Here is an 11,760-nt window from a genome sequence, read left to right on the forward strand (position 1 = left end):
ACAAAGCTACAGTAAAATCTAGGAATATATATGTTTTGTTGTAATTTCTTTTCTTCAGCCTTTTTCAGTGTAAGAGAGTTCCTCAATGCAAATAAAGCAGATGCCCATTCCAGCAACGTACATGAGTGTGTGTGAGTGTGGTGTGTGTTTTCACATATCTGTGTGTATGAGTGTGCATATGAGCATGTGTCTGTGTGTGTCCATGGCAATCTCAGATTCCCAGACATCACACTGATAATTGCATTAAACCAATTTTCTTAAAAACCATGTTTGGGCCGGGCACTGTGGCTCACGCCTGTAATCCCAGCACTTTGGGAGGCCGAGGTAGGCAGATCACGAGGTCAGGAGATCGAGACCATCCTGGCTAACACTGTGAAACCCTGTCTCTACTAAAAATACAAGAAATTAGCTGGGCGTGGGGGCGGGCGCCTGTAGTCCCAGCTACTTGGGAGGCTGAGGCAGGAGAATGGGGTGAACCTGGGAGGTGGAGCTTGCAGTGAGCCGAGATTGCGTCACTGCACTCCAGCCTGGGCGACAGAGTGAGACACTGTCTCAAAAAAAAAACAAAAAAAAAAAAACAAAAGCAAACATATTTGAAGATAAGGAAATATTTTTTGGAAACCTCAGATGCTTTTCTCTCCTTGGTACGAACCATTTGGAGTCCCATCCACACACTTCTGCAAGCTGCTGACACAAGCTGGGCATTGTATTGGGTCTGGGATGTGACAGAGCTGCCGGCTGTCATTTGATGCGTGAGGCTCGTCTTCCAGGCAGCTTTCCTAAACTTGGAGATGTTTTATATATTCTGTTATGGGCGGGGCAGGGTGCTCTCTATTTGGTCCGACCTTTCCCGTACACTAGGTATCAAGGGCTGAAGCATTCAGGACACAGCAGCCCCTGGACCCATCGGAAGATCTGAGATTCTCTCCGTAAGCAACCACTCAGTAAGGTGGCAGGACCTTTCCTGGCTTCAGTTTCTTCACCCCTAAAACAAACATGGCACTTCACGGATGACAGTGGGAGGACAGGTGTCTTAGTATTTCCATGGGAAGTGGAGGAGGATCCTTTAAGGAGCCCATTGGGTGATAGCATCTCCTTGTTGTCTGTTGGTCTTGGTCCCCATGTTTAAAGTATTTTGGAGCTTTGACTAGCGTGCGCAAGGGATGCTGCCCATGTCTCTAACGAGGGCATGGGGTTTGTCCGTTTCTCTAATGAGGGCATGGGGTTTGTGGCATGGAGGGGCTTCTCTGCTTCTGAGGTCCTGCATTGCTCAGGCAGGCCCTGGCTTGAATGGGGAGGCTGGCGTGAAGTGAGAAGGCCCCAGGGAAACCCTTCTTAGAAACATCATCCATCCTGGGTCCTTCCAGTGAGGAGGCTTACCTCTCTAAAAATTCAGATTTGCCGAAAAAGTCATGATTCTTCTTCCTTAACTAACTTTAAAATGGAAAACTCTCTCCCTACCATCGCGCTGGGCCTCACTTGCAGTGAATGCCACGGGGTGACGTAGGTTTTCTGATTCTCCTAATCTGTAAGGGCGGCTTTCGCACAGGCTCCCTCTCCATCCTTTCTCGTTAAAGGCGCTCCATAAAGCAGCTTGCACACATGTTTAAACAGTTCATTGTCAATAACTTTAACCTCCCGCAAAAGCCAAATACAATGGTAATGTGGCTGTGCCTGCCTATTACAAAAGAAACCCAAGACTTAATTTCTAATCTGCAGAGGAAAATCTTTCCAGCCGTCCTCATTTGGCGGGCTTGTGGGTCTCTGTACGCGTGAAAACAGCGAGAAAATGGCAGTGGAGACATTTGTCATCTGCAGAGTAAAAATATATTGCTTTTTGTCAGGAATGTACTGGTGATGTCTGCGGGGGTGGAGAGAGAATGCATCAGTTGTGGCAGCAGGCCTTTGGGGTGGTGCAGAGGGAGAATGCCATGACCTCAGACATCTGCTCTTCCATGCCACTGGGCACGTGGTTGTGGAATGCGTCCTCAACTGGCCTTTTGCTGTTTTCTCCCAAATTTCATACCATGAGTCTTCATCTCAGGCTCCTCTTCGTTGATTTGAAGCCCCTAGTCCGTCTCCAGTTTTATTTCATTACAAGACAACATCAGCCTCTGGATCTGCTGTGATGTCCTCCCTCTGCTCCCTACATCTGTCTATCCTGCTCCCTGGAGGGGACGTCCCTCACATTTCCCAAAGTCTTACTCCACACCACCAGCTCAGGCTGAACTAGCTTAGAGAGTTTATTCCATTTGCCCCAAATACTGCCCTTTGGAACCCGCCAACGATCCATGTGTGCTTCAGATAGCCTCGTCCAGGCAGGAGTAGCTTTCTGAAATTTAAATTTTTATCTATTTACAAACATTTTTATGTGTAACAAAAAGTAAAAATGTGCCTAACAAGTATAATTAACCCTGAAATGGAAAAAAAAAAAAAAGAATATAAAGTATATCAAGGGTATCCACAGAGGAGGTAGTACTTTGGGTGGAAAGAGCATGGTTTTGAGGTTTGGATACATTTTGTCTGAGAATTTTGTTATATTGTTGAAATATGACATTTAACATTTGGTGTGGGTAATACTGACTTTAGAGGGTGCGTTGAAGCTTGATTAATGTGATCAGTGTCACTGGACCCTAGCATGTCCTTGTGTGTGTATCTATGTACAGGAATACACCATGCTTAATATAATCAGTGTAACTAGATTCTAGCATGTCCTTGTGTTTGTATCTATGTACAGGAATACACCATGGTTAATATAATCAGTGTAACTAGATTCTAGTTTGTCCTTGTGTGTGTATATATATGTACAGGCATACACCATGGTTAATATAATCAGTGTAATTAGACTCTAGCATGTCCTTGTGTATGTATATATGTACACGCGTACACCCATGGTCAATGTAATCAGTGTAACTGGACTCTAGCATGTCATAGTGTGTGTATATATACATATATATATATATGTATATATACACACACACGCATACACCCGTGATTAATGTATTAATGTAATCAGTGTAGCTGGACTCTAGCATGTCTGTGCATGTGTGTGTGTGTGTGTGTGTGTCTATGTACTCACATATACCCATTGATATGGTTTAGCTCTGTGGCCCACTCAAATTTCATCTTGAATTGCAATCCCCACATGCCGAGGGAGGGAGGTGATTGGATCGTGGAGGTGGTTTCCGCCATGCTGTTCTTGTGATGATGAGTGAGTCTCATGAGATCTGGTGATTTCATGAGCGTCTAGCATTTCCCCTGCTTGCATTTCTCTCTCCTGCCACCCTGTGAGTAAGGTGCCTTGCTTCCCTTTCACCTTCTGCCATGATTGTAAGTTTCCTGAGGCCTCCCCAGCCATGTGGAACTATGAGTCAAATAAACCATCTTCCTTTATAAATTACCGAGTCTCGGGCATTTTTTATAGCAGTGTGGAAACGGACTAATACACCCATGATTAATGTAATCAGCATAAGTGGATTCTAGCATGTACTTATGTGTGCATGTATGTACATGCATGTACCCATGATTAATGTAGTTCAACTAGACTTTATCATGTATACGTCCTTGTGTGTATACCTGCACAGGTGTGTTTATGTATATGTGTATATGTGCATTTGTGTATATAAATCTGTGTATAAGTGATTTGAAGATTAAATGTAAGCAGACATGGAGAAAAAGCACAGCTATCCAGCAACATGCCCCTGGCGTGTGTAGTCAGGCAGTCAGTGCTATCTGCTGTGAGGTACTTGTGTAGCAGGCGGGATAATATGATACAGAATATGGATGGATGCTCGGCTGTGTGTTGCCAAGCTAATCTCCTCTGCCTTGACTTTTTCCTTTCCTCCTCCCTCCTTCCCCTTGGAGTCATCTTGTTGACTATGGACTACAGAGTTATGTGTAAGTGGCTTCAGTGGGGAGCAAACAGGACAGCTCTGTTTGCCTTCGCCTCCCGAGGAGAACCTTTTCTGCACATCTGGTTTCCCCTTCACTATGTGATGCAGGGAAATTCCGGAAAATGCAGATGGAGAAAGTGCATCCACGAAGCTTCCACAGCTATGTGTATGTGTGTGCCCTACACATGTGCTTGCGTTTGAACCATGGGGTCTCTCGGGCTTACGATCAACTTGCCAAAAACTTTAGATCTCATTGAAAGCATGTGCCCTTTCACCCGTGAGCTAAACCTTGGGGAATCACACAGACTTTAACTAACCTAAGTGATTGAATACCTCTCGTTCATTTGGTTAGTGGACATGCTCATAGGGTGCAGGCCACTACCCTGGAGACACTTTCCGAATGGGAAACAGAAAACAGATGTGAGTCACACACACACAAAAGTTACCTCTGGAAAAATAGGATGGATTCTGTTTCCTCTCCTTCTAAAAGACTGTATTTAAACTGGTTCTGGTTAGTAAAGACAACATAAATATCTTTTCCTAAAATCTGTACCAAATTACTTCACTGAGAAGTCTCTGAGGATGTGCAGCCAGGACCGCAGGTCATATATTTTAGCCGCGTTGGGTCACTCACCTGGAGAGCCTGTCCTCAGCCCCCGGCCTCGCCCCACAGAGGCTGATTCGCTGGGCGGGTGGATCCGCTCGTTCTGTTTCTGATTAACTCGCGGGTCATGAGGCTGCTGTTGCAGGGAGATCCAGAGCTGGAAAACACCGCTATAGACCAGCACAACTTCACATTTTGGTCTACATGGATCATTTTGAGAGTATGATTAAACATCTAATCTCCAATTAAAAAGAAATCCATGTGTATACCTCTTTCCAAAATATCCCATATATATTCAGAAATAAGGGCTTTTTAATACAAAATCACTTAATTCTTCCAAACGTCGTTATCTGTGCCACCTACAGTTGCAACCACGTTCAAGGTAGAGACTGACTAGCTTGATACAATGGATGTTTAGGATTATCTCTTGCAGGGAAAATGGAGAAAATAAGCTTTTTTAATATTGCTCTTTAAACCTAGATATGTTGGCCATTTTAGGGTTTACTTACATGATGTAAAAAGTACCTACCAGGGCAATAGTTTTAAAACCCTTATTTCCAAAGCTTATAAATGCTTCTGTGGGTTCTACCTTAATTGTTATAAACAGCCTTTTCTCCATCTCTCATTCACTCTGCTTCAGGCCTGCCCATGTCTCAGCTCTGTCCAGCTTGAATTAAACTGTTGTTTAGGTTGGGAAGTGTTAATGAGTCCCTAACACTTCTCAGCTGTCCAGTCTCAGCTCAAAATAGCTTCCTCACCAGACATCTCTTTAGGGGCTGACCGTCTGCAGGCCTCATCTGGCCCAAATATGTATTGTCAGCCCACAGAGGCGTGTGGTTTAGGTGCTGGCTGGTTTGAGAAGTAACCTGAACATGATGTTGGCTAGGCATACACTTGGTTTTGCCACAGTCTTCGCTATCCCCTACTGGCCAGCCTGGCCGATTCATCCCTTTATGTTAGTGCTGGGCCTTTCCTGAGTAGCTCCGGTTGACTTCTAAAAGTAATGTTAATTCAATCTCCCTTTCTGTCTTTACCTACCTATCTGGTGACTATTTATACACACTACATCTAGTAAATATACTAAATAACTATGTATAGTGCACCAAATGTTTTGGATTAATATTAGCTCCTTTTCCCTTGGAACGTGATTCTTCCTTCTTAATACCCGGATTTATTTCTAGGGTGTTTACATCATTCGAATAATTTTGTTTAAATCATTTAATTTAAATAATTAATTGTAAAACATTTAAATTACGTATACTGGCTGGGAGCAGTGGTTCACGCCTGTAATCCTAGGACATTGGGAGACTGAGGCTGGCAGTTTGCTCGAACCCAGGGGTTCAAGGCCAGCCTGGGCATCATGGAAATGGCCTGTCTGGCCGGGCGTGTTGGCTCATGGGTGTAACCCCAGCACTGTGGGAGGCCGAGGCGGATGGATCACCTGAGATCAGGAGTTTTGACCAGCCTGACCAACATGGTTAAACCCCATCTCTACTAAAAGTACAAAAACCAGCTGCGTGTGGTGGCACACACCTGTAATCCCAGCTACTCGGGAAGCTGAGGCATGATAATCGTTTGAACCCAGGAGGCGAAGGTTGTGGTGAGCCAAGATTGCACCCCTGCACTCCAGCCTTGGTGACAAGCAACACTCTGTCAAAAAAAAAAAAAAAAAAAACACACTTCACCTTTACAAAAAATACAAAAATTAGCTGGGCGTGGTGGCACTCGCCCGTAGTCTCAGCTACTCAGGAGGCTGAGGAGGAAGGATAGCTTGAGCCCACGAGGTTGAGGCTTCAGTGAGGTGTGATGGTGCCACTACACTCCAGCCTGGGCAACAGAGCGAGACCCTGTCTCAAAAAACAAAAATAAGAAAATAAATGATATGTACTGAATACCACTCCATCCTAACAATGAAGCACATCTTACTCACCGCTGTATAACATAACGTGAGGGTGTCATCTCCACTCTAAGAAATAAGGGAAAAGAGGCAGTAAACTTTTGGAGAATTCTCAGGTGAAATCCCAGGTAAAATTTCATTATTGTCATTGTACTTGTAAAAAATACTTAAGGCCGGGCATGGTGGCTCACGCCTATAATCTCAGCACTTTGGGAGGCCCAGGCAGGTGGATTACTTGAGGCCAGGAGTTCAGGATCCACCTGGGCAACATAGTAAGACCCTGTCTCTACTAAAAAAAAATACAAAAATTAACCAGTCATGGTGGCCGGTGCCTGTAGTCCCAGCTACTTGGGAGACTGAGGCAGGAGAATTGCTTGAACCCAGGAGGTGGAGGTTGCAGTGAGCCGAGATCAGGCATCTGCACTCCAGCCTGGGCAACAGAGCAAGACTCCACCTCAAAAAAGACAAAAAAAAAAAAAAAAACTATAACAAATCATGAGCTCTAAACAATTTTAGAGTAAGTAACATAAATCTGTATCCATATGAAAAGCACTTGTTCAGTTTGGCCTAGGGTCTATAGTGGGGGTCTTGTCCTCGAAGAGGGCATGCGCTCTGGGGACAGCTGGATGACCTGAGCAGTAAAGGAGACGAGGACAGAGGGCGCTGTGAGTGCCGGGCCCAGGGACTGACTCCCCATTCTTGAGTCCAATGTGCTTTTGTTCTGCCCAGCTCTTGGAAGACTCGGCCCCCCAGAGTCTTGGCAGTGTGGATGTGACAGGGTCCCCAGCGGGACATGGGCACAGGAAGAGCTGGGGGAGGGTCCCCAAGCATGGGCTTTCCCATCAGGGAGCCAACAGAGCAAAATGTTTGGAGCGTGACAAAATGTTAACATTTAAAATACATTAATAAGATGGCGACAACTTGCTATGGTCTGAGGGTTTGTGTCACCCCCAGATTCCATGTTGAATCTTAATCACCAAAGTGATGGTACTAGGAGAGGGACTTGGGGGTGATTAGGTCGTGGGATTAGTGCCCTTATAGAAGGGACCCCAGAGGGCTGCTGTGATACAATAAGAAATCTATACTTGATCTCTGCCCCCCAGTTCCTGGCACAGAGCTCTACAACCCTCGGAATTTTCTGAGTGAGAGGAACGTCTTTTGTTCTCATGAAGCAACTCTTGGTGGCTCCTAGATGGGCCTGGTCACCAGAAAGACCAAGCCGTGATTAGAAGTTTGGAGTTTTCAAGCCTGGGCAATATGGAGAGACCCCATCTCTACAAACAAACAAACAAACAAAAATTAGCTGGATGTGGTGGCTCATGCCTTTAATACCAGCACTTTGGGAGGTTGAGGCAAGAGGATCGCTTGAGTCTAGGAGTTCAAGACCAGCCGGGGCAACATAGTGAGACCCCAGTTCTACAAAAACTTTAAAAAAAAAAAGCCACCTATTGCACACCTATAGTTCCAGAAGCTAAAGTGGGAGGGTCACTCGAGCCCAAGAGGTTGGCACTGCAGTGAGTTATGATCGTGTCACTACACTACATCCTGGGTGACACAGAAAGTCCCTGTCTCAAAAAATAAAGAAACAGAGAAAACCAAATAAAAACACTTAAGAAGCTGCTGAGCACAGCTGCATGGCAGGAGGGTGGAGCACCCCAACTCCATGGGGCCAGATGCTCCTGTGCTTGGGACCTTCAAGACCCCGCTCTCTCCATCGCTTCATCTGCCTGTTCTTCTGTGTCCTTTATTATAACCTTATTAACAAACCATCAAATGTAAGTATAGTGTTTTGCTGAGTTCTGTGAGCTGCTCTAGCAAATGAATTGACCTCAAGAAGGGGGTGCTGGGAGCCCGATTTGCGGCCATTCAGTCAGAAGCGTGGTGGCTGGTATCTGACGTGGGGACCGTCTTATGGGACAGGGTCCTTTAACCCGTGGGATCTGATCCTCTCTCTAGGTAGACAGGGTCAGAGTGAAGTTGAATTACAGGACACCCAGCTGGTGTCCTCTGGAGAATTGTTTGGTATGTTGGATTTAGTGAGACAAGATATAGGAAAGTGTTTTTTATTTTTTGGAGACAGGGTCTCATTCTGTCACTCAGGCTGGAATGTAGTGGCACAATCATTGCTCACTGCAGCCTCGAACTCCTAGGCTCAAGGAATCCTCTCACCTCAGCCTCCCAACAAACAGGGACCACAGGTGCACACCTCCAAGTCCTGCTAATTTTCATATGTTTTGTAGAGATGGGGTCTTACTATGTTGCCTAAGTGGATCCTCAACTCCTGGCCTTAAGTGATCCACCCGCCTGGGCCTCCCAAAGTGCTGAGATTACAGGTGTGAGTCACTGCGCCTGGCCCAGGAAAGTGTTTGACACAACGTCTGATACCTACTCAATGAGCAATTGGTTCAAACATAGTTTTGACTAAAATAACTCCTGTGGAAATAAATATTGCTTTCTCAAGGGTATTCCAACTATTCTGTCTTCAGTCAATTCTTCTTCCCCATTTCCCTCTCCTCCTCCACTTCCTTCTCCTCCATTTCTTTATTTAACAGTGGCTCCAATTGTGAAACTTCCATTTGTGCCCCCTTGAGAAATGAGGCAGAGAAAATCCCAAGGAGGTGCTCTTCTCCCACCCGGACACCCCTGATCCCAAGGAGATGCTCCACTCCCACCCAGCTTCTGGATTAAGGATTTAGGGCAGCATACTTTCATCAATGACTTCTGAAGGTCACGTTTGTTCAGGACGTTCTGAAGACATTTCTGATAGTGTACCATCTTTATAGACGTTGCTCCCTACTACGACAAATCTGTTGAGAAATTAAATGAAGGAGCCCCTTCTGTGCTCTTTAATTTCCCAATGCAATAGTAAATGTGAGAGTGCCTTACAACCATGAAGCAATTCAGCCTGACTTTTGGTGATTACAAGGAAAAGGTTGGAAAGAGCTCTTAGTGTTTAATATTTAAAAACAAATATGTGTTGTATATTGACGAATTATAGTTGTATGTACTTATGGGTAAAAAGTGGTGTTATGCGCTTTATAGACAATTTAGAATGTATTCAGCATGCTGTGCTATGGATCTAAAAAATATCAGACTTTTCCTCTGATCTCACTGAAGCTTTGTGTCTTTGACTGTCATGTCTGTGTTTTCCCAGGCGTCAGCCTCTGCAGCCACCATTCCCCTCTCTGCTGCTCCGAGTTCAATTGTTTTAATTCCACAAGTAAGTGAGGATATGCTGTGCTTGTCTTTCTGCGTTTGGCTTATTTCACTCAGCATAATGTTCTACAATTCCATCCATGTTGTCACAAATAACAGAATTTCTTTTCTTTTTAGGGGCTGGATAATACTCCATTGTGTGTATAAACTACAGTTTCCTTATCCATTTGTCCCTTAATGGACACTTAGACTGATTTCATAACTTGGCTATTGTGAATCATGCTGCAATGAACTTAGGAGTGCAGATATCTCTTGGACCCATTGATTTCAAATCTTTAACACCCAGAAGTGGGGTTGATGGATCTCTTACTTAATGTTTTTGTTCCATTTAACATGGATGTCCCTCTAACTCTTCTAAAGAATGTCACAGATGATCTCAGTTGGGCTAGAGTTTTTCTTGACTTCATACTTTGCATTCTTCTGGCCTTAATGCATTTTGGAAAGGAGCCAGTTGTTTAGAAATGTGCTCCTGCTTTTCTAACCTATGTTCAAAAAAGAGTAAGCTTCCCCTGCACCCATGGCTGTGAATCTGTGGGACTGTCGACAGTCAGGCACTGAGGATGAAGAACTGGAAGATTCTGCACATCCCAGGCCATTCTTGATGTTAGCTTTTCCCATATGTGATGCTGTAGCGTGGGAAGGAACGGGAAATTTCTCCTACTTGCTTCCAGTTACAGGAGAATTCCTTTTCAGCAGCTCAACAAAGGCCTGCTACTGATGGCCTCCTGGATGTGACGTCACGCTCTGGGGCTGCAAGTCCAGTTTAATTCATCAGCTTTTTCCAGCTGTATAATAGGACATAAAACAGACGTAGGAGGAATGTGGAAGAAAGAGGTACAGTCCCTGCTCTTTTCTGATTTATACCCATTGTACCTTGCCCCAATGTGGTCTTCGGTTGGTAATTCAACATCTCTTGTATATATTATCTTTGTATATACCTTAATATATTAATAATTTAAAGCCCCAGTATAATTCCCTGCATAAAGTAAGACTGAACTAAGTCCCCTTTTTATAATGGTGAACCTGATTATGCACTGTTAACAGACAGTGCAGTAATTTTCAGAGATCATAGCACAACCACACTCTTCTGAGCTGGTTTCTCTGTCTACAGCAGCCATCTGTATTTAAACAAACCTCAAAGGTGGGGTGTGTGTGTAGAATTCTAGGTATTTAGAAAAGCCAGAAATTCAGTTTATAAACAACTGTTCAAAGCCAAAGATTATGACATCAATTAGCATTTCTAAAATCGCTAGGTGAGTGGTATTTTGCTTCATCATTTCTGTGACACATTCCAAGCAAGCATCATTGTATATGGTATTTATCACGATCGAAGGTTCGCATTCATTTGAAGTTCCGGTCATTCTCTTTTTTACGACACCACCCAGCATATCAGTTGGTTGTGCAAATGGACCTCCAGCACTCTCCTAGATGTAGAAGACCTCTGTTGGCAAATGTCCACCTCCCCAACTCTCTTTGTATGAAAGCCCTCTTGTGACTGCTGGTGTTTTCAGATGGACAGAGTGGTGGGGGGAGGGGGGGAAGTGCATGGTAATCAATGACCTCTAACACAACGGGGGGAGGATTTAAATGAGTAAACATGCACACATGTACATGCACCTACACATGCACACACAGTCACACACACTCACCAGCCGACCTTCATAAAAAAGCACTTCGTAGTTAATGGAGTAACTGTCATTTTATATTCACTCTATTGCTACAAAAATTACAATGGCTGTAATAGTGTTTAATGCAATATTAATATCCACTCTAAAGACGAATTTGTTGCATAGAACATATTCCAAGTAAGAGGCTGTGCCTTGTGCTGGCCACTTCATTTTCAATATGGACAAGAACTGTCTCATGAGGCCAGTTGCAAGGAATTCCATGTGGGCATGATTCTCTCCTCAGCAAATATCTCTGGCAGAAGTGTTTTGTAGCAGAATTCTCAGGAGTTGCATGGGATTCTAAACATGAGTTCAGTGATGAAATCCAGATTTACGATCTCCTTTTCACCATGTTCTGCAAAAATGAATGCAACACAACAGGCACAGCCTTTGAGCTGTGTTATTGTCATTTGTATCCAAAATGCCTCAGCTCAATTCTAAGTTTCTTGAAAAACAGGAAGAGAGTAGGCATCCATCAGAAAA

At 44.3% G+C, this 11,760-nt stretch overlaps 1 annotated feature.

Moving 5' to 3' along the window:
- Positions 7,691 to 7,868: a silencer, noted in NCBI's record as "fragment chr8:2224809-2224986 (GRCh37/hg19 assembly coordinates)". NCBI's record gives its function as "represses an EF-1alpha promoter that drives an FKBP-Casp9 reporter gene in an ReSE screen in phorbol 12-myristate 13-acetate-treated (for megakaryocytic differentiation) K562 erythroleukemia cells {active_cell/tissue: K562(+PMA)}" and the evidence as "EXISTENCE:reporter gene assay evidence [ECO:0000049][PMID:32094911]".

The sequence above is a fragment of the Homo sapiens genome, chromosome 8 (genome assembly GCF_000001405.40).
Source record: "Homo sapiens chromosome 8, GRCh38.p14 Primary Assembly".
NCBI classification, from domain to species: domain Eukaryota; kingdom Metazoa; phylum Chordata; class Mammalia; order Primates; family Hominidae; genus Homo; species Homo sapiens.